This window comes from Homo sapiens, chromosome 17 (genome assembly GCF_000001405.40).
Source record: "Homo sapiens chromosome 17, GRCh38.p14 Primary Assembly".
NCBI lineage: Eukaryota > Metazoa > Chordata > Mammalia > Primates > Hominidae > Homo > Homo sapiens.
Window position 1 is genome coordinate 82,043,618 of NC_000017.11, and position 22,700 is coordinate 82,066,317.

General features: G+C 63.3%; 3 protein-coding genes across 75 annotated transcripts, besides 9 other annotated features; 1 reads left to right on the forward strand and 2 right to left on the reverse strand.

Moving 5' to 3' along the window:
- Positions 1-4,284: 4,284 nt before the first annotated feature.
- On the reverse strand, positions 4,285-8,194 carry RFNG (RFNG O-fucosylpeptide 3-beta-N-acetylglucosaminyltransferase). 2 transcript variants are annotated; one of them, NM_002917.2, is made up of 8 exons: positions 7,883-8,194; positions 7,677-7,725; positions 7,045-7,147; positions 6,785-6,938; positions 6,301-6,389; positions 6,060-6,225; positions 5,414-5,499; positions 4,285-5,190 (listed from the first exon to the last, which is right to left on the reverse strand). In NM_002917.2, exons 1-8 carry the CDS (start codon positions 8,147-8,149, stop codon positions 5,109-5,111), a joined length of 996 nt encoding a protein of 331 aa, NP_002908.1. In that variant the 5' UTR covers positions 8,150-8,194; the 3' UTR covers positions 4,285-5,108. The 2 variants fall into 2 exon arrangements, with proteins under 2 accessions (NP_002908.1, XP_011521889.1); XM_011523587.3 differs by lacking the exons at positions 7,677-7,725; positions 7,883-8,194 and adding an exon at positions 7,395-7,414.
- Positions 7,315-13,853, forward strand: GPS1 (G protein pathway suppressor 1). Of its 60 annotated transcripts, none has more exons than NM_001394760.1 (14): positions 7,848-7,907; positions 8,639-8,842; positions 9,657-9,749; positions 10,251-10,432; positions 10,881-11,193; positions 11,281-11,358; positions 11,545-11,605; positions 12,123-12,208; positions 12,384-12,478; positions 12,669-12,774; positions 12,853-12,933; positions 13,012-13,149; positions 13,223-13,357; positions 13,436-13,853. In NM_001394760.1, the coding sequence occupies exons 2-14, from the start codon at positions 8,690-8,692 to the stop codon at positions 13,508-13,510; spliced, it is 1,596 nt and encodes a 531-aa protein (NP_001381689.1). In that variant the 5' UTR covers positions 7,848-7,907; positions 8,639-8,689; the 3' UTR covers positions 13,511-13,853. The 60 variants fall into 60 exon arrangements, with proteins under 60 accessions (NP_001381694.1, NP_001381698.1, NP_001381689.1 ...); XM_047435847.1 differs by having other exon boundaries at positions 10,893-11,193; NM_001394761.1 differs by having other exon boundaries at positions 10,893-11,193; positions 11,548-11,605.
- Positions 7,729-7,878: a silencer, noted in NCBI's record as "silent region_9185". NCBI's record gives its function as "represses an Ori minimal core promoter by ATAC-STARR-seq in GM12878 lymphoblastoid cells {active_cell/tissue: GM12878}" and the evidence as "EXISTENCE:reporter gene assay evidence [ECO:0000049][PMID:35858748]".
- Positions 7,729-8,588: a biological region, named in NCBI's record as "H3K27ac-H3K4me1 hESC enhancer GRCh37_chr17:80009332-80010001".
- Positions 7,839-8,508: an enhancer, noted in NCBI's record as "H3K27ac-H3K4me1 hESC enhancer chr17:80009332-80010001 (GRCh37/hg19 assembly coordinates)". NCBI's record gives its function as "activates a minimal SCP1, AML or CMV promoter by ChIP-STARR-seq in primed H9 embryonic stem cells {active_cell/tissue: H9 hESC(primed)}" and the evidence as "EXISTENCE:reporter gene assay evidence [ECO:0000049][PMID:30033119]".
- Positions 8,149-8,398: a silencer, noted in NCBI's record as "silent region_9186". NCBI's record gives its function as "represses an Ori minimal core promoter by ATAC-STARR-seq in GM12878 lymphoblastoid cells {active_cell/tissue: GM12878}" and the evidence as "EXISTENCE:reporter gene assay evidence [ECO:0000049][PMID:35858748]".
- Positions 8,459-8,588: a silencer, noted in NCBI's record as "silent region_9187". NCBI's record gives its function as "represses an Ori minimal core promoter by ATAC-STARR-seq in GM12878 lymphoblastoid cells {active_cell/tissue: GM12878}" and the evidence as "EXISTENCE:reporter gene assay evidence [ECO:0000049][PMID:35858748]".
- Positions 13,854-13,888: 35 nt separating the features above from the next.
- On the reverse strand, positions 13,889-22,187 carry DUS1L (dihydrouridine synthase 1 like). Of its 13 annotated transcripts, none has more exons than XM_005256394.3 (14): positions 21,996-22,187; positions 21,206-21,452; positions 20,509-20,617; positions 19,851-19,901; positions 19,244-19,356; positions 18,284-18,366; positions 18,001-18,104; positions 17,592-17,736; positions 17,248-17,344; positions 17,084-17,166; positions 16,331-16,476; positions 15,164-15,201; positions 14,724-14,791; positions 13,889-14,637 (listed from the first exon to the last, which is right to left on the reverse strand). In XM_005256394.3, the coding sequence occupies exons 2-14, from the start codon at positions 21,440-21,442 to the stop codon at positions 14,619-14,621; spliced, it is 1,293 nt and encodes a 430-aa protein (XP_005256451.1). In that variant the 5' UTR covers positions 21,443-21,452; positions 21,996-22,187; the 3' UTR covers positions 13,889-14,618. The 13 variants fall into 13 exon arrangements, 12 of the variants coding, with proteins under 12 accessions (XP_005256451.1, NP_071439.3, XP_024306639.1 ...); NM_022156.5 differs by having other exon boundaries at positions 14,724-14,799; XM_024450871.2 differs by having other exon boundaries at positions 17,248-17,337; positions 17,940-18,104.
- Positions 20,827-21,555: an enhancer, noted in NCBI's record as "H3K27ac-H3K4me1 hESC enhancer chr17:80022320-80023048 (GRCh37/hg19 assembly coordinates)". NCBI's record gives its function as "activates a minimal SCP1, AML or CMV promoter by ChIP-STARR-seq in naive H9 embryonic stem cells {active_cell/tissue: H9 hESC(naive)}" and the evidence as "EXISTENCE:reporter gene assay evidence [ECO:0000049][PMID:30033119]".
- Positions 21,779-21,828: a silencer, noted in NCBI's record as "silent region_9188". NCBI's record gives its function as "represses an Ori minimal core promoter by ATAC-STARR-seq in GM12878 lymphoblastoid cells {active_cell/tissue: GM12878}" and the evidence as "EXISTENCE:reporter gene assay evidence [ECO:0000049][PMID:35858748]".
- Positions 22,119-22,188: a silencer, noted in NCBI's record as "silent region_9189". NCBI's record gives its function as "represses an Ori minimal core promoter by ATAC-STARR-seq in GM12878 lymphoblastoid cells {active_cell/tissue: GM12878}" and the evidence as "EXISTENCE:reporter gene assay evidence [ECO:0000049][PMID:35858748]".
- Positions 22,199-22,258: a silencer, noted in NCBI's record as "silent region_9190". NCBI's record gives its function as "represses an Ori minimal core promoter by ATAC-STARR-seq in GM12878 lymphoblastoid cells {active_cell/tissue: GM12878}" and the evidence as "EXISTENCE:reporter gene assay evidence [ECO:0000049][PMID:35858748]".

The window sequence follows — 22,700 nt, forward strand, 5'->3', positions numbered from 1 at the left end:
GACAGCTGGCCGGTCCTTCCAGCTCTCAGGATGGTCCCATGTGGCGAGGCAACAGCAGGGGCCACTGTTCCTAAGACGACCGGATGGGGGTGGGGCCCTCCTGTTCGCGTCCGGCCTTCTGAGCCTCTGTAGTCCCTACAGAGAGGAGGATATGGGGCTCAGGCTTCCCCGGGAGCCCAAGGCCGGGAGGTATGATCGACTCTGCGGGTGTCTGTGGGCTCAGTGCTAGGCCCTTCCTGCCATAAGCACCCCCCGCCGTGGAGGAGCATTTGAGCTCACGGATGCTACAGAGAAAGTTTCCTACAGGGTCTCCTCTGAGGGCCATGGAAAGCCATGTGTAGACACTCAGCCTGCCCCCAGAGCCTTTGGTGCCCCAGGAGTAGAGCCAGGAGCCCTCCCCGCCACCTCCATGTGCCCTGTGCCTGGGCGCCCAAGCCTGTGGATCCCCCAGCATGGGCTAGGCAGGTCCTTCATTGCTCAGACCCCAGGCTTTGGGAGGTCGCATGTTTTGCCGTCTGCATAGCGAGGACGTGCTGGGTAGGAAAATGAACTCCAAGCCACGGCCTTCCTGGCCATTCTGTTGTCACCCGTCGTTTCCTTCACCTGCTGTGAAAGTGCAATCTTGCTTCGCTGCAACCTCCACCTCCCGGGTTCAAGCGACTCTCGTGCCTCAGCCTCCTGAGTAGCTGGGATTACAGATGCCCTGCTAATTTTTGTATTTTTAGTAGAGACAGGGTTTCACCATGCCTAGCCAGGCTGGTCTCAAACTCTTGACCTAAGATGATACGCCCGCCTTGGCCTCCCAAAGTGCTGGGATTACAGGCATGAGCCACTGCACCCGGCCAGTTCTTTTTTTTTTTTTTTTTTGACGGAGTCTCGCTCTGTTGCCCAGGCTGGAGTGCAGTGGCGTGATCTTGGCTCACTGCAAGCTCTGCCTCCCAGGTTCACGCCATTCTCCTGCCTCAGCCTCCTGAGTAGCTGGGACTACAGGCGCCCGCCACCTCGCCCAGCTAATTTTTTGTATTTTTAGTAGAGATGGGGTTACACCGTGTTAGCCAGGATGGTCTCGATCTCCTGACCTTGTGATCCGCCTGCCACGGCCTCCCAAAGTGCTGGGATTACAGGAGTGAGCCACCACGCCCGGCCAAACCCGGCCAGTTCTTCTTTAAATGTTTGGTAGAATGTACCAGTGAAACCATCAGGCCCAGGACTTTTCCTTGTCAGGAGTTTTTTGATTACTGACAAGGCTGGAGTGCAGTGGCACCATCACAGCTTGCTGTAGCCTCAACTTCCTGGGCTCAAGCCATCCTCCTGCCTCAGCCTCCCGAGTAGCTAGGATTACACGGGCACACCACCGTGCCTAATTATCAATTTTTTTTTTGTAAAGATAAGGTCTTGCTAAATTGCCCAGGTTGGGTTCAGGTGATCCTCCTATCTCCGCCTTGCAAAGTGCTGGGATTATAAGGATGAACCACCATGCCTAGCCTCTTTTTTCTTTTAATTATTATTTTATTATTTTTTAAAATTTTTGTGGGTACATGGGAGGCATATATATTTATGGGGTACCTGAGATGTTTCGATACAGGCATGCAGTGTGACAGACACACATGACGGACTATGGGGTGTCCACCCCCTCAAGCATTTATACTCATTTTAGTATTATTATTTTTTAAATTTTTATTATTTATTTTATTTAATTTTCTTGAGACGGAGTCTCGCTCTGTCGCCCAGCCTGGAGCGCAGTGGCGCGATCTCGGCTCACTGCAAGCTCCACCTGCCGGGTTCAAGCCATTCTCCTGCCTCAGCCTCCTGAGTAGCTGGGACTACAGGCGCCCCCCACCACGCCCGGCTAATTTGTATTTTTAGTAGAGACGGGGTTTCACCGTGTTAGCCAGGCTGCTCTCGATCTCCTGACCTCATGATCTGCCCGCCTCGGCCTCCCAAAGTGCTGGGATTACAGGCGTGAGCCACTGTGCCCGGCCTATTTTAGTGTTATTTTTAAGCGGCTCCACACAGAGCAGGGCCATGCCACAGGCAGCGTGGCCCAGAGTAGCCTCTTTTCTAATGTAACGTTTGCGACTGTAAATATCTCCCTCAGCAAAATGGTATCTCCTAAGTTTTAAGTTGTTTTTATTTGTCTCCAGGTATTTTGTGATTTCTTCCTTGACCCACTGGCTAAGAGTGCGTTGTTACATTTCCACAAATTTGTGACTTTTCCAGATTTCCTTCTGCTGTGGGCTCAGAGATGAAACTTTGTATAATACATTTTATTCTGTTTAAGAGATGGGGGTCTCCCTATGTTGCCCAGGCTGGTCTGGAATTCCTGGGCTCAAGTGATCCTCCCGCCTCGGCCTCCCAAAGTGCTGGGACTATAGGCTCGTGCCACTGTGACAGGGTTTAGTATCTATCTTTCAAAACACACTGAGACTTGATTTGTGGTCTAACATCTGGCCTCTCCTGGACAAAGTTCTCGTGCGCTCGAGGAGAGCATGTGTTCTGCTGCTGTCGGGAGGTGCTCTCTGGACATGTTGGAGCTGGTGGTTTCCTGTGTTGTTCAAAACTCCTAGGGCTGAAGGGAGGTGTCCACTGAGTGTGGACACTGTCTCATCAGGTACCATGACACACCCCACGTGACCTGTGCCTGTGACCACGTCGCTGCCTTGCGGGCCTAACAGCACCTGCCTATGGGACCTTGGCTGGCTGCTTCTTACCAGGCCGGCCCCCTAGAGCCCCCCTGCTCCTCCAAGCCCTGTTTCCTCCAGAGGGGTGGCCGCCCCTGGTTCCCTCCTCACCCCTGTCCACACTGACTCTCTGCAGCTGGAGCCAACTGGGTCCAGCAGGGACTTGGGCCTGGGACGGCCAGGGGCTCTGCCCAGAACAGCGAGCCTGGGACTGGTCCTGCCCGGGAATGGTTATTTGAATCAAAGCGGAAAACTGCTGGTTTGAAACGTTTATAAACATAACCCAACAATACAAAAGGGAGCAGCGTAACTGGTCACTTAGGAGAAAAGCCTCAGGACCTCGTGGACCTGAACTTAGGCCAAAAAAAATGGGGAGGATAAATGAGACAGGGTGACCTCCCGGACCAGGCACTATGCAACCTTAGAGTGTGGCTTAAACATGAATGATCATCTCCTTTCCGTTAGACAGCAGTAACAGGCTTTAGGTTTTAAGACTAGTGTTGACGGAGTTTAGGTAAAACGGATACAACATTATATTCTCAGAGGACCTGCAAGCTGGACTCTTCCGGAAAGCGTGTGTGCACCAAGATTTGCTAGAGCCTCATGCCCTGGAAACAACCCACTGGGGACACTTTGTCCCTAGACACCCTTTCTGGTGGCGTGAACGCACTCTAGTCCACGTTCCCCACTCCCAGGATGCCGGGACCGTGTGGCGCAGGCTTAGGAGGGAGGGAGGTCCACATGAGGTCAGAGAAAAGCGCAACACCCAGACCGTGCATCCGGGAGAGCCAGCGTGAGGCCCCGAGGCCACGCGGGCAGACCCACCGCGGACGCAGGGGACGCAGGGGACGTCTACAGTTCTGCAGCAATTTTCAAGAATTCGCTTTTCTTTCGTTTCTGTTGAAATGCAGGTTTCAGACTTGCTGAAATTCACCCGACACTTGTTCTGAGCCCCAGAATTCCTCTCCCAGCCCAGAGCCTGCAGTGGACAAAGCCAAGGGCCTGGGCTGTTGGCTGAGGACCCAGTCATGATTAACCTCAAGTCTCCTTGGGGTGCCTTCTACTCCAGGCTGAGCACAAATGAGACAGAAACCAGCGAACTCCACGCGCGTTATGTGGGTGCCTCCTCTTTGCCCTCCACACACCCACGCACAAGTGCACACACCCACGCACGCAGACACTGCCACGCACACACCCACTGATGCACACAGACGCACACACGGGTGGATACTCACCTACATGCACGTACACACCCACTCTCAATGTGTCCACTGAGCTTCGTGTACACGCCCACGCACACCCACCCTCATACACACCCACGTGCACCTGGCTCCACACAACACACGGGAGGAGGCAAGCACGATGCTCAGGAAGGCGGCCTCTCAGGGCAGCGTCCAGTGTCCGTCCCTCCCGGCGGGACCCTCGCACGCCACCTCTGCTGGAGATTTTGGCTTCCAAAGAAGAGTCTGGTGGGTTCAAGGCTGGGTGGGCAGGACGGCAAGGATACAGCCCTGCCTGGGACAGAGCCTTCCTGGGGTAGAAGGGGGATATGGCAGGGACCCGAGGAGAGCTGGGCCGGTGGGTGACTAAGACAGGAGCCACGTGAAGTAAGAACAAAAGCTTTACTCGTGCTCGGCAACAGCAAAGCAGGAGGCAGAGGGGAGATGACGGCCCCTGTCCCATTTCCCTCCATGGAAGGCACCAGGCGGGGAGGTGGGTCTGCTGGGATGGGCAGGTCAGCGGAACAAAAGGCTCCTGTTGTTTATGGGCCCAGGCACAGTGGGGCAGGAGCACGACCCAGAAAGTAGTCCTGAGCCACAAGTCAGAGCGGAGAAAACATCTCTGTGGTCCCAGTCAAGAGGCCTCCGAATGAGGCGCCTGGACTGGGAGCAAAGCTCTGGTCGAGAACATGACCTTCCCGGGCCTGAGTCCCACTGTGGTGCCCGGCCGTGCACCCAGCCTGCGGCAGAGAGGGCGGCGTCCCCCACAAAGCCTGCCAGGCTGAGCCCTTGCAATGGCCGTGGCTGGGCCAGGACCTTGGCCTGGAGCCTGCTCCTTGACACCCAGCCAGCCTAGCACCCGCCTTCAGCAACAGGTAATGGAGCCCGGATGGCAGCTCCCTCCCAGGTGCGCAAGTGCTGGGGTGGAAGCCTGTTCCCGTGGGATCAACCTTGGGGCTGGGTCGGGGGGAGGGGCACTGCGGCCCTGGCCATCAGCCTGGCTGTCTTCGTTCTCCCAAAACACCCATCACCGCAGCCCACCAGGGGCTGGGAGAGGGGGGGCTGCAGGCTAGCCAGAGGGTCTGCCAGGTGCCTGCATCTCACTGGTGTGGCCGTGGCACCTGAGGGAGCCCACTGAGCCCATAGGGGGCTCTGGTTCCCCGCGCCTGGGACAGAGCCAGGCAGCCCTGGGTCGGGGTGGTTGGTGTCACCGAGAGGTCGGGGCGCCCTGTTTCTGCCTGGGACACCAGTCCGTGTCTGGGTACAGAAGACAATGGATAGACTTAAACCTGGGGAAGGAAGAAGTAGGGGTCAGGGCCGTGGGCGGAGAGAGAAGCGGGGGCCAGGGCCGTGGGCGGCGGGAGAACCTGGGGTCAGGGCCGTGGGTACAGGGAGAAGCCGGGGTCAGGGCCGTGGGCGGAGGGAGCAGCGGGGGTCAGGGCCGTGGGTAGAGGGAGCTGATGCCAGAGCCCCTGCGGGGCCGAGGGCCTGCCCATGCCACTACCTACTCACCGTGTGGGGTCTTGATGCAGGCTGAAGCCTCCAGCCACGTTCACCACGTTATGTGGGTTCTCAGGACCCCCATGGCTCAAGGTAACCTGGGAGGGAAGGGTGTGGGCAGAGTGTGTGGCCTGGTCTGGTCTCGGGCCACGCCTGCCCCTGGCCAGGAGCCCTGCTAGAGCCCCTTTGCCCACCCCCTCTCCCCAGGCCCTCGGGGAGGCCAGGCTTGGAAACAGCATTGAAGCATGGCATGAGCTGAGTAGGGGGACACCTCAGGCAGAGCCTGGGGGACAGAAGATAGGGATCTGAAACCTCCAGGGCAAAGCTGACCCTCATTCCCTCCCTGCTCCACGTGATGGGACCTGTTCCGACTCACCATCACCATACACACCACACCCACTGCCCAGCTGGCATGGGGCCTCACTGGCCCGAGAACTGTGCTTCTCCCCTCGTTCCTCTGCCCCAGACACCATACCCCATCTGTACGTGAGGACCCTGTGTCCAACAGGCCAAGGGGCCTGTCCAGGGTCCACCCCCAGCCACATGCAAATCCCACCTGCCTGCTCAGCCGGGCATCGGGCCGGGGCAGTGGGGCCCCTGGGGGAGTCAGGGCGGGGCAAAGCCCAGGTGGCAGAGGCACCCAGAGTGGCGCCTGTACCTGCTGGAGCAGGGTGTCGGGCGGCAGCCTCTGCAGGTTCTCCAGGTGAGAGTGGAAGAGGGGGCTGTGCAGCAGGCGGGCGCCCAGGAGCCCCTCCACGATGTAGCCAACTGTGCAGTCATCCGGCAGCCGCACCTGCTCAGCTGTGCTCATGAAGCTGCCCAGGCTGGGGGGAGGCCGGTCAGCACCTTTCAGGTCTCAGCCTCCGCCTCCCAGCCCGGGCAGCTGGACCCCCACTCACCTGGCCCATGGGCTCATCTTGAGGGCAAGGCCTCTGCTGAGGCAGAACCCGGCCCCACCAGTAGCAAACCAGAACTTGACCGTGGTCACCTGAAGATGGGGTGGTGGTCAGAGCTGCCCAGGACAGGGCTTCTCACCCCTGACTCTTCATGGGACTCCCCAGGCATCTTTCTTAAGCTGCCCCTTAGGAGATCCCACCCAGGTAACAGAAGCTTCTTGGAGCAAAAAGAGCCGGGGGCTTCTGCAGGCCATTGACCCGTAGCCTCCAGACCCTCCCCACCTGGCCCAGACACCCCCTCTCTGCCCAGTACGGTGAGGGCCTCCTGGCCTGCTCCTGAAACACCACATGCAAACCACCTGGGTGGATCAGCTTGGGCCCCCAACCCTATGCCCTTCTCAAGCCAGCTTTCCACGCCCTCTGCTGTGCCTCCCGGGCTGGTGTCAAGGAAGGCGTCTGCTCCGATGGCGTCTGCTCCGACACTCACAGTTCTGCCACCCTGGACCCTCTCGGTGGCCTCAATGGGGTGGTCCAGGCTGGGCCGCCCCAGGTAGACGTCCTGGCTGGGTGAGAAGCTGGAGAGCAGGTGCAGGAGGCTCCTGGCGTTCACATAATTGTCATCATCCACGTGGCAAAACCACCTGTGGGCGAGGGGAGTCCTGGGCACGAGGGCCTGGCATGGCTGGACAGGAGGCCCCCACCCAGCTTGGCTCTGAGCTCTCTGCGGGTCGGGTCAGCGCCGCGTACTTGCGCCCGGACTCAATGAACTTGTCATACTCCACGGACATCTTGCAGCAGAGGGCCTGACGAGTGCGCACCGCCGAGCAGTTGGTGTTGATGACACGGTCGCCTGCGAATCAGAGACGGGAAGCACGCACGTAGAGGATGGCACTGGGGTTGGGGTAAGGCCTGTGCCCCACCTGCCCCCAAGGGCCAGGGCACAACGTGGCTGTCTGACATGCCTGGACACCTTGCCTGGGTCCAACCACAGCCCTAGCCCTCACGCGCTGACCCTGCTGGTGCCACCGAGGCTGAAGCAGGCGGCCATCGGTTGGGATCTCTTGAGTGGAAACAGGACGGAGGCAGCTCGCCCTGACCTGGCCTGGAAGGGCGGATTCCCTGCTGGCGCTTCTTCAGGGGACGTGGCACTAGCCCCACGCCCCGGGAAGCGGCTAGTGTGAGAGGCTGGTGGGGAGCAGAGCTTGGCTGGCAGGGTGGGCCCTCCGCAGGCCGCGTGACCTGGGCAGCGTCGGGGCCTCCCCGGGCCTCGGGAGCCTGGGCAGAGAAAGGCACCCACAGCAGCGAAGGGGCCGTGGCTTCGGAGCGAGAAAGGCTCGGGGGGCAGATCCCGCGGGCGCCGGGGAGTGGGGGACACTCACCGCCCTGGAGCTCGAGCTCAGGGTCGTCCCCGTCGGTGAAGATAAACGTCTGGGGGAGAAACAATCTATGAGGCTTCTGGGGCGCTGCCCAGGCCGGAGACCGACCCGCCCCGCGCGGAGCCTCCGGGGGCCTGGGCCGGGCCTAGACCCTGGGAGGCGGGGCGGGTGGGCGTGGGGCTCGCCGTCGGGGTCGGGGTCCGGCGCACCTGCTGGCGGGCCCGGGAGATCCAGGTGCGCAGCAGCAGCCGCAGGCGCGGCCCGTGGTTCTTCCGGGTGGTCTTGACGGCGATGAAGACGTCGTCAGGCCGCAGGCTGGGGGCAGCGGGCCGGGACGGGGGCGCGCGCGGGGCCGGGGCGGGGGTCCGGGCCGGGGCGGGCGCGCGGGGCAGCGGCAGCGGCAGTAACAGCAGCGCGGCCAGGGCCGCGGCCAGCGCGAGGCAGGCCCGGCACAGCGCCCCACGCGCGCGGCTCATGCGGCCGCCGGGACCCCCGGCGCTGCGAGCGGAGAACCTGGCCGGAGCCGTGGGTGGGCGGCGGCCCCTTTAAGAACGCAGCGGCCCCGCCCCGCCCCGCGCCCCGGAAGCGACGGCTTCGCTGCCCCGGAAGTGGACGGCACGCCGCGGCGGGGTGGGTGCAAGATGCCGCTGCCGGTTCAGGTGTTTAACTTGCAGGTAACGAGCCGAGGCCGCCCCGGGCCTCCGCGCCCCCGCGCCCCCCGCCACTGGGGCCGGGCTGAGGTCGAGCAGGGGCGCGGGGCCTGCGCCAGGAGTCGGTCGGGCACGCTCCGTGCCGGGCCTCCGCGGGCAGCGCGCGTCGGGGGCTGCAGGGCCGAGGGCGCGTCTCCGCCGTGGCTGCGCGCTGCGATCGGGGGCCGCCGGGCCGCGCCCGCCCCGCCTCCCCTCCCAGCAGCTCACGGGAGAGGTTCCCGGCCGCCCCGACGCTAACGCTCTTTCTCCCTTCAGCAGCCAGCCAGCTCTGTGTCAGGGTCGGGGGGTGCAGAAAGTCAGGACAGAATGAGGGATAGCTCGGCCCCCAGCTCGGCCTCCTCGTCAGTGACAGATCTGTACTGCACCCCTCACAGCAGTAGGTCAGACCTCGTCCTGCCCGGCACGGCCGGGGACTTCAGCCTGAGCGCCAGCCTGTCGGCCTGTACGCTGCTCTACGAGGTACCTTCCAGGACAGGGACCCCCGAGCGAGGGAGGGGGGAGCAGGGCCCCGGCCGCCCCTGCTGTGGCTGGGCCCCTGCTGCTCTGCTGGCCGAGGACAGGGACTCAGTGCCAAGCGCAGGAGGGGAGGGAGCCCCGGTGGGCCCGGGGCCTGCGGAGGGAGCCGAGCTCTTGGTGCTTTTCCCGAAGGAGCGCGGGAGGCCCACGGGTCCGGCGAGTGCCCGGCATGGCGGCTTTTCCAGCCTGCTTTGTGTTAAGCCGAGGTCCTGGCTTCTCTGTGTCTCCCAGCTGGGGGCCATGAGGCTCCCTGAGATGACTCTTTTCCCCTTCTCCCAACTCCGTGGCGTGACTCTCAGCCCAGTATTGCTGCTCCGCTGCTCAGGACAGATTCCGGGGGCTGGTCCTCCTGCCTCCTGGGGTTGAGGTGGCGTCCCGTTCTTCTCCGTGGCTTGGAGGAAACTACATCAGGATGGTGGCTGGGAACGTGTAGGGGCCCTCAGAGGCCCCTGTGTAGTTGGTTGTCCCCTGTCTGCTTTCTGGCTTTCAGAGATGAGCGGCTAGAATCAGGCGAGGGGTTTCTGCTTCTGAGCCTTAGAGTCTTGTGAGGAGACCCCTCCCTGATGTGGTGGCACAGGAGCCTGGGTGGGGGCGGGGGTGACTGGGAGGGCACACCTGGGGGACAGCAGCGGCGGGAGTGTGGTCCGACTGGCCTGGAAGATCTTGGGCAGAGCTGACCTCAGAGAACAGTGCGGGTCTCTCGCCCTCCTGGGGCAGTCCCCAGGACGAGGTGCCAGGTGCCTGGCCCATGTTGCAGGGGGCCGTGGAGCCCATGCAGATCGACGTGGACCCCCAGGAAGACCCGCAGAATGCACCTGACGTCAACTACGTGGTGGAGAACCCCAGCCTGGTACGGAGCCCAGTGGGGGGACCTTGGGTGTCTCAGTCCTGCTGAGGGGTCCAGGGCACACTCCCCGCTGCAGCCTGCACAGCAGGTAGAATGATCCTCCTCAGTGATCGCTGTCGTCTTTTTCTGACCCCGAAACCATCAGCGTTTCTGATTGCGCACTCACATGAGGCTTGTAGCTCAGCTTCAGATGCTGCTCATGGAGAAGCCAGGGCAGGTCTCCTCCCCGCTCAGCCTAGCGACCAGCAGTCACTAGTGGGTGTCTATCCCCGAAAGCCCCCGGGTGCAGGGTCCCACTCCTGAGGCTCCTGCGCCAGGCCCACCCCAGCGGTCTTCGTAGCTCCTGGGACAGCAGTCAGTCTCGTACCCCCATGCCCGGTTCTGGTTATGGGCCCAGGGCGACATTCTGGCTAGGACAGTCAGGCCCCAACTCCTGACCCTCAGGGCCTGGGGCCAGGGTCCTGCCTCCCATCCTGCCTGACTCTTGTCTGTGCCTGCTCCCAGGATCTGGAACAGTACGCGGCCAGCTACAGCGGCCTGATGCGCATCGAACGGCTGCAGTTCATTGCTGATCACTGCCCCACGCTGCGGGTGGAGGCCCTGAAGATGGCCCTCTCCTTCGTGCAGAGAACCTTTAACGTGGACATGTACGAGGAGATCCACCGCAAGCTCTCAGAGGCCACCAGGTGAGGCCAGGGGCTTGGCGAGAGGAAGCAGAGGCCACCAAGGGAGCGCGGGTGTCTGGGACTGGGCCCCCTTCCTGTGCCCTGCATCTCCCACCCCTGTGCTGGGAAGTCGGGCGGGTAGAGCTCTCGCTCTCTTTTGGCCAGCAGTGGAAGTGCCCTGTGTGTGTGTGGCTTCTGTGTGTGTGCATGCAGGGCTTTGATTCCAAGGGGAGCTGTTGGAGACTGTGGCTCAGGGGCCGCCTCCCTGCTGGTTTCCCCACCCGGCTGTAGGCTCCTGGGGCAGCAGTTCTCTCTGTGGCCCTGGTGCAGACTGGTCCCTAGAGGTGGGGTTTGAGGCCAGCGGGAGGTGCCCACCTGTGTGCCGGTTGGGCCTTTGAGGGCAGCCTGAGATTGGCGGCTTCCTCCCCTCCTCCCTGGCCCCCGTGACCGCCGCCATCCTGATGGCCAGGTCCTCTCTCAGGGAGCTGCAGAACGCACCCGACGCCATCCCTGAGAGCGGCGTGGAGCCCCCAGCCCTGGACACGGCCTGGGTGGAGGCCACGCGGAAGAAGGCGCTGCTGAAGCTGGAGAAGCTGGACACAGACCTGAAGAACTACAAGGGCAACTCCATCAAAGAGAGCATCCGGCGCGGCCACGACGACCTGGGCGACCACTACCTGGACTGTGGGGACCTCAGCAACGCCCTCAAGTGCTATTCCCGGGCCCGGGACTACTGCACCAGCGCCAAACACGTCATCAACATGTGCCTCAATGTCATCAAGGTCGGCCTGCCTCGGCGGGCGGGGGTGGGCAGCATGGCTGGGCCATTGGGGCGCCCGGGCTCACTTGGCTCTGCGCCCCCCCGCCAGGTCAGCGTCTACTTGCAGAATTGGTCTCATGTGCTCAGCTACGTCAGCAAGGCTGAGTCCACCCCAGAGATTGCCGAGGTACGGGCCACCTCCTCAGAGACCTTGCCCCCAGGATTCCTGACCACTGCTGGCCCCTCCTGTCCTCCCCCACCTCATTCTCCCCCAGATCTGAATCTGCCTTCATCCCCTCTCAGTCTGGGGGCTGGGCATCGAGCTCTAGGAAATGTGGAGCATGGGCCTCACGCATGTGGCTTCCTCCTACAGCAGCGAGGAGAGCGTGACAGCCAGACCCAGGCCATCCTCACCAAGCTCAAGTGTGCCGCAGGTGAGGGCCTGGGTCACGCCCAGCTGACCCCACGTTCCCCTGTTGCTAAGTCCTCCCAGCCCAGGGCAGTAGGCTGGTCCCTGCCTCAGCCAGGGAAAACTTCCCTGGCAGGGCGCAGGATGTTGTGGGCACATGTACAGGTGTAGGTGGTGCCTAAAGTCTGCCCCGGGGAAGCCAGTGGGTGACGTGTGGTCAGGGTCTGGCTGCTGTCACTGTGGGCGTGAGGCAGGTCTGCCAGCCCGAGCTGCTCTGAACTGGGGTGTCCTTTGCAGCCCTGCTAGCACCTAGGGCTTCCCTGCATGCCTGGCTTCAGGGAGCCTCCTCAGCATTGGTGGGGCTCTTTCCACCCGTGACTAGAGTATCTGTCCCCAGCGCTGAGGAACAGCTCCCGGGGCAGGAGAGGCCAGCGAGCCGGCTGGTGGTCGCGTTCTCCCTGGTTTCCAGGCGTTAGCGGCTTCCCCAGGCTCTGGGGTCTTACCCCCTCTCCCCCCTCCCCGCCCCCGGCTCCTTCCACTAGGCTTGGCAGAGCTGGCCGCCAGGAAGTACAAGCAGGCTGCCAAGTGCCTCCTGCTGGCTTCCTTTGATCACTGTGACTTCCCTGAGGTGAGGAGCCCTCTGGGGACTTGGGAGGCAGAGCATGGGCTCATGGGTCAGGCTGCTTCTGTAGGAGGGTGAGGTCTCTCACAAATGGGGTCTTAGGCATTCTCCGAGCGGGTGATGGGCAGGCAGGGGTGGCCTGGCCCTTCACTGCCTGTGACGCCAGGTCTCTGCTCCTCAGCTGCTGTCCCCCAGCAACGTGGCCATCTACGGTGGCCTGTGCGCCTTGGCTACCTTTGACCGGCAGGAGCTGCAGCGCAATGTCATCTCCAGCAGGTAGGTGCCCCGGTCCTGCAGCCCTGAAGGCTGTCCCCGTCCCTCTCCGTGGCTGCTGCTTCGGCCTTGCATGTCCTGGCCCCCTGGCCCCAGCGTTTTCTCAGGTGTTTGTCTGGGGACTGGTGTCCCACTGGCCACTTGGAGGGAGGGGCAGGCAGAGGACAGAGTTCTGAGGGGTCTGCCTCACCAGCTCCTTCAAGTTGTTCTTGGAGCTGGAGCCACAGGTCCGAGACATCATCTTCAAATTCTACGAGTCCAAGTACGCCTCATGTCTCAAGATGCTGGACGAGATGAAGGTGGGCCCCGCCTGGGGTAGGGGTGAGGTGGGGCCCTGCCTGGCCTCCTGTCCTGGTCCTGACCAGCCCCTTCCCCAGGACAACCTGCTCCTGGACATGTATCTGGCCCCCCATGTCAGGACCCTGTACACCCAGATTCGCAACCGTGCCCTCATCCAGGTAAGCGTGGGGGTCAGGCTGGCACACGGCAGGCGGGCATGCAGGGGGCTGTGGAGCTGACTTCCCTCTGCCCTGCAGTATTTCAGCCCCTACGTGTCAGCCGACATGCATAGGATGGCGGCAGCCTTCAATACCACGGTGGCCGCCCTGGAGGACGAGCTGACGCAGCTAATCCTGGAGGGGCTGATCAGTGCCCGTGTGGACTCACACAGCAAGGTGGCTGTGGGCTGCGGGGCGGTGGGGGCAGCTGGGGGTGAGCCTGGGCCCCGCTGAGCTTGTGCCTGCACAGATCCTATACGCCCGGGACGTGGATCAGCGCAGCACCACCTTTGAGAAGTCTCTGTTGATGGGCAAGGAGTTCCAGCGCCGCGCCAAGGCCATGATGCTGCGGGCAGCTGTGCTCCGCAACCAGATCCATGTCAAGGTGGGCTGGCTTGAGGGGGGGCAGGCGCACGGCGTGTGGGGCCTGGTGGCTGTGAGCTGCTCCTTGTCTCCCCTGCAGTCCCCGCCCAGAGAAGGGAGCCAGGGGGAGCTGACTCCAGCCAACAGCCAGTCCCGGATGAGCACCAACATGTGAGGGGTGAACCTTGGCCTCCAGGACATCTGCACCCCCTCCCCACCTCCACGGACCTCGGACCTCCAGGCGGCTCAGTGCTGCCTGCGGCCCAGCTAAGGGGCCTGGCCACTGGGTGCCACCCAGCCTGTGTGCCCTCCCTGGGGCTGAGGAGGCAGGCGGCTGCTAGTTGTGGCCCTTCCTGGAAGGAGAGGCCTGCAGGGCTCGACCCTGTGGGTTTCTGTCCCCAGGGAGCAGACTGTGCGGCACCCAGGCCCAGTGGCACCATTTCCCAGACCCCTCCTGTTCCCGCCTCAGTCAGGTGCAGACAAGTGGGCGGTGTCCATTAAAGAGCAGACTCAGCGTTGCTCTTGGCTGTTCTTTCCTGCCGTGCAGGCTCTGGTCACCCCTGGGTGGCCTTGGGTTCCTGAGGGCTGTCTCCCTGGGACTAGGCTTGGAGGCAGGGCCTGGTGAGAGAAATGAGAAGCCTGGCCCTCAGATTCAACAGCCCCCAGCAGCAGCCACTGTGGCCTCGCAGGCGGTGCTTCCAAGGCTGTGAGGCATCACGAAGCTCCCGGAGGCTTTGGCCACTTGCCTATGGAGGCGCCTAGGGGAGGTGGGGAGGGGACCTAAGCCCCCACTTTTGTCTACCCAGATGCTGCCTTCATTTAGATGTATCCTGTTGTTCAGAAGCCCCCACTGGCCCCAACCGCACCTGCCCCGGCTCATGCCTCCCTGGGTCTGAGAGGGCAGTGGTCACAGGCTGTGGGCTCTCGCATCTTTGAAATGATTTATTGTTCACTTTTGCACACGCGTGCTGAGGACAGGGCAGGTCCAGCCTGGGGCCTGCTCCCCACTGCAGCATTTCCAGGCCCCCAGAGTGGGCCGAAGGGGGACATGGGCGTGTCTTTCCACATTAAGTAGCAGGAGATTCCCTGAGTAAAAGGCATTTTCTTAAGTAGGACGTGTCCAGGCTCCAGCAGCAGTCCTGGGGGTGGGGGTTGTGGGCCTTCAGGCCAGGGCACTGCCCATGACTTCGGAGAAGCCACCTGGTGTTCCAGGTGCTGCTGGCTGAGGCTCCTGCAGCTCAGGCTGGGCCTCTTTCCAGGCCAGAGACTTCTCCAATTTGGTTTTAAAAAGCAATCCGTGACCTGGCAGAGCGAGTGAGAGGAGTCGGGGGTCAGGAGGCGGAGGGGGTCTGTTTGCCTGCTGCGGGGCGGGTGGTAGGCGCCCTCACCTGGGCAGTCTGCAGTCTCTTTGGAGGCTCGCTTCTTGCAGCAGCCGCGGCACAGGCTGAACACACATCTGTTGCCCTGGGCACAGGAAATCTCGGGAGCCTGTGGCCAGCACCACTCCCGGGGCCAGGCTGGCCAGCAGGGGAGCAGCCCCACTGGGGAAGCCTCTGCCAGATGCCCACGGCCTGGATGCAGCCCTGGGAACTGCTCCCAAGCCAGATGCCTCTCCCTCACCCCCACCCACCCAGACTCTCTTCCCCTCCAGGCCTGGGCAGGGGCTTGGCTGGAAGCAAGGGGCCGTCCTGAGGCATCCATGCCACCTTGAGCCACGTTGCAAACCCAGCTGGGCGGGCACCAGACCTGCCACCCCAAGCAGTGCAGAGACCACCCTGCCCACCCCCAAAGCTGAAGCCTTGGTGGCTTGCAGCCGGAACCCACTCACCTTTGGGTTTCCACACTGGTCACACTTTGCATATTTTGCTAGGAAAAGAACAAAAGGGTGCTGGTGAGTGAGGGCCAGGGTGCCCTGGCTGTGGGGGCTGCCCCGTCCGCCTGCACGGAGCCTGCTGATGGCGTCCATGCCAGCTGTGGCCAGCCAGGCCAGGAGGCTCAGGGAGGGCAGAGGATGCAGGCTGGCCACGTCTGCTTTTCCTTCCGTGAGCAATGGGTGAGGGGATGCAGGGGGCACCATCCTGCAGGAAACGGATAGGAAGCAGGTGGGCTGGGGGGCCGCCGCAGGACGAGCAGCCTTATCTGTCCTACCCCCAGGCAGGGACAAGGGGAGCAGTTTTCCTGCCCACAGGGTCCAAGGGGGGTTCCATGCCCTTCAGTTCCAGGTCTCCCAAGCAAAAGGGCCAAGAAGGGTCAAATCAAGAATTCAGCCTGAAGCCCCACTTCCTGCCTCTCCCAGCTGCCTCATTCAGTGGCCTGGTGGGGGGCAGTGTGGCAGGCAGGGACTGCTGGCACCAGCCTGATGTGGCAGCTGCTCTTGGACTGGCCAGCGCCCTGGGGGTTACATGGGAAGGTTTCAGGGTTATCGCTGGTCTCCCCTGCAGCTTGTAAAGTTGTCAGAGATCTGGGAGGCTGCCACCTGTTGAGGGCCCAGATGGGCTGGCCCAGGATACGGCGGCGACCAGGGGTCTCAGGGGAGACAGCACTAGGCTGAGGCCTTGCCACTGGTGGCTAAGAGAGGGGCGAGCAGCCTCGTCCCGTGCCTTTGGCCCAGCAACAAGACCCATGCACACACTCCCGGGGACCCCAGCCTCCCTCTCAGCAGCTGCTCAGGTGTCCTGTGTGAGGCTGGGCAGGGGCAGCCGCAGGGACCCGAGGCCCTGAGCTGTAGACGAGCTTCACCTGGCTGAAAAGCTTGTCCCATAGCCTCATCTGATTCACTGAGCCCATGTCCCACATGCACGGGCTGTGGCCTGCACAGGGTCCCCGTTCTGACCCCAAGTCTGGCTGACTACTCCGCCAAGCCCTCCAGGTGTCTGCTTCCAGCTCTGGGCCTTGAGCCTTGCTGACCACAAGTCTGGGTTCCTGTTACTGGCAACAGGGAGGATGGGGGTGATGAAGAGGCTCTCTCGGGCCCATCAGCGGAAGCAGCACTTACGCTTCAGAGAGGGGTCGAAGGTCTTGTGGGGGTTCCTCAGCTGCTTCTTTTGCTTGTTCTTGGACAGGACCTCCGTGCCACCCTCCTCTTCCTCCAGGGCCCGCTTGCTGCGCGCACCTGCCTTCTCCTTGCTCCCCTCCCTGGGCCTGAGGGGAGGGCAGCGGGCAGAGCCCAAGGACACTGTGAGAGGGGCCCAGCAGCCACAGCCACACGGGTCTGAGTCTGGGTGAGGGGCCAGGCGGCCGTGGCGAGTGCCGCTGCTGTGAGGAGTGCCCTCCTTTCCCTCGGGCAGCCCATTCAGGACTCGTCACTAGGGAGTCCGGGGCCTCTGAGATGGAGTCCGCAGCTCGGGCAGCCCCAAGCTCTGAACCACCAGCTCCAGGGAGGGCTGTGGCCACGGATGGCCTCACCTCTGAGAACCCAGCAGAAGCTGGGGTCAACCTCTTGACCCACGGGCAAATCCACCAGGATCAGAGGAGCTCAGAGAAGTATGTTATGGAAGAAAAGATTTAAAATCCGAGCGTCCACTGAGGGAGGACACAGCTGAGCCACCAGCATCCTCCACCAAGGACACCGAGGGGCACGTGGAAGGTGTGTGCTGCTCGGAGCCGAGGCCTCCCTCCTCCTTTCCCTTGGGCAGGAGATGACTGACCATAATGGCTGAGGACAAGCAGGGCAGGCGCAGCACTGTGGGCACAGGGTGGAGCCCACACCTTGGTGCACATCCCCGCCCAGGGCTGGCTGGGCTCTCACCCCGGCCGGATGTAGGGCTGGCAGATCCAGTGGAAGGGCAAGTCGCCGGTGGGCTTCGCTCCCTCCTGCCTGGATATCTCCTCCTGCAAAAGCCCAAGGCCCTGGTCATGGCCCCAGCCCCTCACCCCCTGCAAGGCCGGGCTCCCACCAGCCCCAGCACCTGCCTGACACCGCAGCTTCAGCTCCTGGCTCACAGCAGCGATGCCCTCCAGGGTCTTCACCTTGGCCAGCTCCTCTCGCAGCTCCTGGTGCACCTGCAGCCTGAGACAGAGGCCCTGTCACGCAGGCTGGGCTCCCGGCTCCACCGTCAGGCCCCAGGCTGAGCACTGGGCACACGGGGACCTGTGTCTCTTCCTGCCCAACTCCACTCCTAAGTCACCCCAGCCCCTCAAGACCTGACTTAGCAGCAAGTTGTTTTGACAAAACCTGCAAAATGCCCCAGGTGGGGTCTGACGGAATCTGCCTGGGCGGCCCTCCAACGTGGCTTCTGCCTTAGGGGGCAACTCACGTGTGGTGCCACAGCTTGAAGAGGTGGGCCCGGACGTAGGACAGGGGGCAGGGGTGCTCCCGCACGATGTCCAGATACTCCTCGGCCAGCTCCCACACGGCAGGGCTCCGGCCCTCGAACAGGGCGGGGTTGTGCAGGTTGCCCTCTGTGGGAGGAGGAGCGGGGAAGGACACCTCGTGGGTTGCTCCAGGTGGACGGCACAGGAAAGCCTGGGACACTCAGGACACCCTTCTGTGCCACCTCACAAGGGACAAGGCCAGCTCAGGCCCATCAGAGCAGACTGGGATTGATGAACACCATCTGTGAACAGCACCATGGGGAGGGCAGTAGGCAGTGGGAGGCACCGACCTGGGCGGTGGTATCAGGCCGTGTGCATGGGGCCCTGGCTGCTGTCCTGGGCCCTGCCCACCTGCGCTCATGACGCCCTGCACACCCGTGTCCCGGAGGCAGCGCTCCACGTCCTGCAGGCACTGGATGTTCCCGTTAGCAAACACAGGGATGGCCACAGCCTTCCTGTTGGCAGAGAAATGCCTGTTTCCACCCGCCCGGAACAGCACCCAGGTGATGCTGCCCCCAGCCACGGCCCCCTGGGTGGTCACGGGCGTCAGGCGTGCCGAGCACCCTGAGGTGTGGAGCTGGGACCCCCAGCAAAGCCCCAAGGACTGAGGGCTGTGTCACCCACACCCACTCACCGCACAGCCTTGATATGCTCCCAGGACGCTGCACCCGACAGGGGCCCCTTCTGCTCCTTGGTGCGTCCGTGCACCGTCAGCAACTAGGACAGAGCAGTGGTCGCTTGACCCCTCCAAGCCCCTTCCGCCCCTCAGAGCCCCCTCCGCCCCTCCACGCCCCCTCTGCCCCTACTCCACCCCTCCGAGCCCCCTCTGCCCCTCCCAGCCCTGTGCCCCATGCCCGACTGCAGGGACCTTTCCCTCACCATATCAGCTCCTGAAGCAGGGCTGAGGAATGGCCATCTGGGGCCTACCCCAAGGCCTCTGCACTCTGTGGGAACCTCAGGCTGCATGTGCTGCCCAGGCCCATGCAAGAGCCAGGCCGGGAAGTGGCAGCATCCCCACTGCCCAAGGCCAAAGGTGTGGGAGGGACTGACTCCAGGCTAGTGGGGCACTGGGGGGGAAAGTGGGTCCTGGGCCTGGCAGCCCCTGTGCAAGCTCATCCCCGGGTCACCAAGGTTGCTGTCCACCTTCAGAAGGTGAGTGTCTTGAGGGGCACCCCCGGAGACAGCAGCCCATCCAGGCCCGCGCCAGGCCAGGCTCAGTGTGCGGGGAACACGGGCAGGGGAGCAGCTCTGCTGACAGCCTGGTGGCCCCTTCCTCACCCTCTAGGGAGACTGGATGCTGAGTATCCCCAAAGGAGGCCCTGCCGGCCTCTGTGACACTAGGAATATGTCAGAGATGCCGACATTACTCTCTCCACAGGGACAAAACCCTGGAGCCAGGAAAGCAGTTTCTGTTGTAGAGGCCTGGGCTTGGGGTGGTGGCACTCAGAGCCAGTGGGGACAGGCCAGTCAGGAGGGCCACTGCCCCCATGAGGCCGACGGTGCACGGTGTCTGGACACAGGAAGAGCCTCAGCTATGTCCTCTGCGCAAAGGCCCAGCTGAGGCCCATGACACCCCCGCGAGCCCAGGGCTCACCTGGCAGCCGGCCTTCTCCAGCATCTGGGCGTACCTCACGGTCTTGTCAATCTCCGGGAAGACACGGATTTTGCACGTGACAGGAACAGAGAGTTTCTCGTGGGCCAGCAAAACTGGGGAGAAGAGAGGCAGCTTCTGAGGGGGCCATGGTGTTCCCACTTTAGCGGCCAAGCCCCAGAGCCCAGGGCCCTGCAGACAGCGGAGCCCAGGCAGCTTTGCCGGGAGGCTGGGAGGCAGCCCGGGCCACCATCTGGGTGTCTCCCTCAGGTTGCTGGGCAGGCTCCCTCCGCCATACCCCCGGCCCTCCGAAGTTCAAACAAGCAGGGCCAAGGCCGGCTCTGTCTCCCAGGACATCTGGGGCTGGGCCCGAGCAAGGACTCTGCCCTGGCACCTACTGTCTGGTTTTAAGGGGTGGGTGGTGCAGGACAGGCAACTTCACAGCCACCTCCTTCCAGCAGAGAGGCTGCTGTGGGCAGGAAGCCCCAGGGTGATGCTGAGAACTCCTGCCAACGCCTGTCCTCTCCTGAGCCCCAACCAAGTGGACAGTGCCCATGTGTCCCTCTTGAGGGTCTCTGGGGGTCCTTCACCATCCACCCAGCCAACTCACTCATTCTTTGGAGCAGGTCCCACTCGTCCTGCAGAAAGGCGCCATAGTGACCTGCAAGGAGCAAGCATGGCCTGGCTGGCACCTGTGTTAAGGCTGGTGGGGCCGAAGCCTTGCACCCCCTCTGCACCCTTTCCTGCATCCACGCAGGCCAGGAGCTGCCCTGTCAGGCGGGACACAGGTCCCCAGAACCAGCAGTGTCTCCAGTTGGGGCAGTGGGACAGTCAGAGCAGTGGTTTGTCGGCATCAGACTCAGGGGCTCTATTTGCCCAGCTGCCTAAGCTCAGAAGGTGCTGAATGGAACCCCCACCCTGCACGGTCTGGAACCAAGTAACACCTCCTCAGGGGCCCGGTGAGGTAGCAGGCTCAGCCCCACACACAGCAGTGCAAGGGGGTAATGGGGACCCTGTATCAGCAATCATGTTTATGCAGAGGGAGCTCCCTGAGGGAAGAGAGAGCCAGTAGGGCTCGGCCCCTAGCCCCCAAGGCCTGAGGACAGCCACCCTCCAGAGGCGGAGCACAGAGGACAGCTGGCTCCAGCCTGAGCCACTGTCACGACAGAGGCAGGGCCTGCCGTCCTCCAAGCTCACCACACCTGGGGCTGCACTGAGCTGGCTCTGGCCCCTGCCCCAGGTGCCCCCATGCTCCACATGGAGCTCACCTCTCTTGGCTATCATCTGTGGGCAGCCCAAGTTCAGGTCAATGGCGTCACAGTAATCCTGAGCCAGGAGAGCCGCCTGAACAAACACCTCCGGGTCATTGGCACAGAACTGGAGAAGATGCAGGAGTCAGCCACGGGCCCAGCCAGGCCCTAGTCCCTTGCTGCCCAGCCCTACGAGAGGTCCAGTGTGACCCCATGAGGGTGTGGGCCCAGGTTCACTGCAGGAGGGTGCTCTGTCCTGCGGAGGCTTACAATATGACAAAGCCGGGAGGAGTCCCCAAGCCACCCGGATTTACAGATTTTCTTCTGAACTGTGGCAGAAGCCACAATCACTGACTTCTGAAGAGCAGAGCCATCTCCACTGGTTCTGAAGAGGGAGTGTGAGTGTGAGAGGCAGCAATCCAGAGGCCCCAGCAGGGCTGCAAACCTCACAGCACCCAGGCTGCCTGAGCCACTCCTAGAGAATGGGGTTGGATTCTGGCAGGTGCACCTGGCAGCCCTGGCTCCACCACAGGAATCACTGCTGTGGCTACGTGGACTCTACATGCCTGGTGCCACCTTCTCCCTCTCCTCCTGGAATTGAGCTGTCTCTGGAAAGGCTGAAAGTGATGTCCCGCCACAGAGAGAAGGGTTTTTCCCCAGGCATTCCAGGACCGGGAACCCAACCGCGGCCGCGGCCACAGCCCCTCCTGCGCACCTGCACGATGAGGGGCCGGTCCTCGGGGCACACCTCGCAGTACAGGTTCTCCTTCCGGTAGTTGGCGTCGCGGACAAAGACCTGGGCATGCAGCATGGGCGTGTAGCAGAGCTGTGCCCCGTGGCGCCGGCTCAGCAGCCTCCAGGCCAGCTCGCTCTGGTCCACCATGGGGGCCACGACGTGGCGGGCCCCTCGCAGGGTGCGGCTCCAGAACTCGAAGCCCTGCAGCTTTGGCATCGTCTCCAGGCTGGGGGAAAGGCGCAGACCCGGGGTTCAGCCAGGCCCAACGAGGGGCTTAAGACTCAACTCAGAGGCAGCGGTCACCCTTCTAAGGCCGCTCCAGTACCACCGTTGGGTCACACGCGGGGGCACTAAAGGCGGGGGTCGGTGCAGGCTGGAGAACGGCCACTCCAGTGCCGCCACCTCCTAGCGGACCTCGGGGGAGCCGCTGGACCCCTGGGACTTGACCCTCCCTGGGGAGCGGGACTCGATGTCGGCCTGGTAGGGGACTGGCGTGAAGGGGGAAGAAACCTTGACGCCAGCGTCCCCGCGGGCCTGGCCCTGAGCAGGCCGCCCGGCGGTGAAGTTAGGACCCCCGGCCCCTTCCCGGGAGAATCGGCTCCGCGCCGGGCCAGGGGAAGGGCAGAGCTTCCTTCTCCGCACCCGGCCAGGCGGCCCGGCTGGCCCGAAACGCCACAGGGGCGCCCCTCGCGAGACTCCTCCGGAGCCACGCGGCGGGCAGCGTTTGCTGTGTGAAGTGACAGGAGCCCACACGCCTCCGCGTCCTCACCGCGCGAGGGCCCCGCCGTGTCCGCCGCGCGCCTTTGGCTCCGAGGGCGCCGGGTGCCGGTGTCCCGGGCCCGCCCCTCTCCGGCCTCGCCGCCGCCCGGGGCCCCTGCAGCTCCCGGGGCGCCGCGAACGCCCGCACCGCGCCGGGGCCGCCGCCGGGCCGCAGCCGGGCCCAAGGCTCCGCGCCGCCACCGGAAGGTGCCCGGTCCTGCGCGGTCCGGGCGGCCCACGGTGCGGCGGGAAACGCGTTCCCCGGAAACCGCGCCCGGCTCCGAGGGGACCGGCGACGAGAGGTCGCGGCGCGGGGTCGGAGGTCAGAGGCTGAGGTCACCACCGTACCCGTCAGGCCGTGGCTAGAGAGGGGTCGGGGCTCGCCGGGACTCACCGACAGCTCGCTGGAAACGAGGCATGTGGAAATTGGGCCTCGCTGAGGCGCACATAAGGCCCGGGCCGCGGGTAGACCGTGGGCGCTGAGGCCCTGCGCTGCCCAGCCCCCAAGTTCGCATTGGGGGCTTCATCCCGTTATATCCTAAAGCGGCCCCAGAGCCCTGCCTCGAACCCACTCACCTGCCGCCTCTGAAAGCCACTCACTTTCCGCCGCTGCGTTGCGGAAAATCACCCTCCAGGGACCTTCCTTGCCCGCCCTGGGTTTCCGCAGCCGCCAGCCTTCGATCGACTTTCCTACCCGCCGTGGACCCTCCTTGGG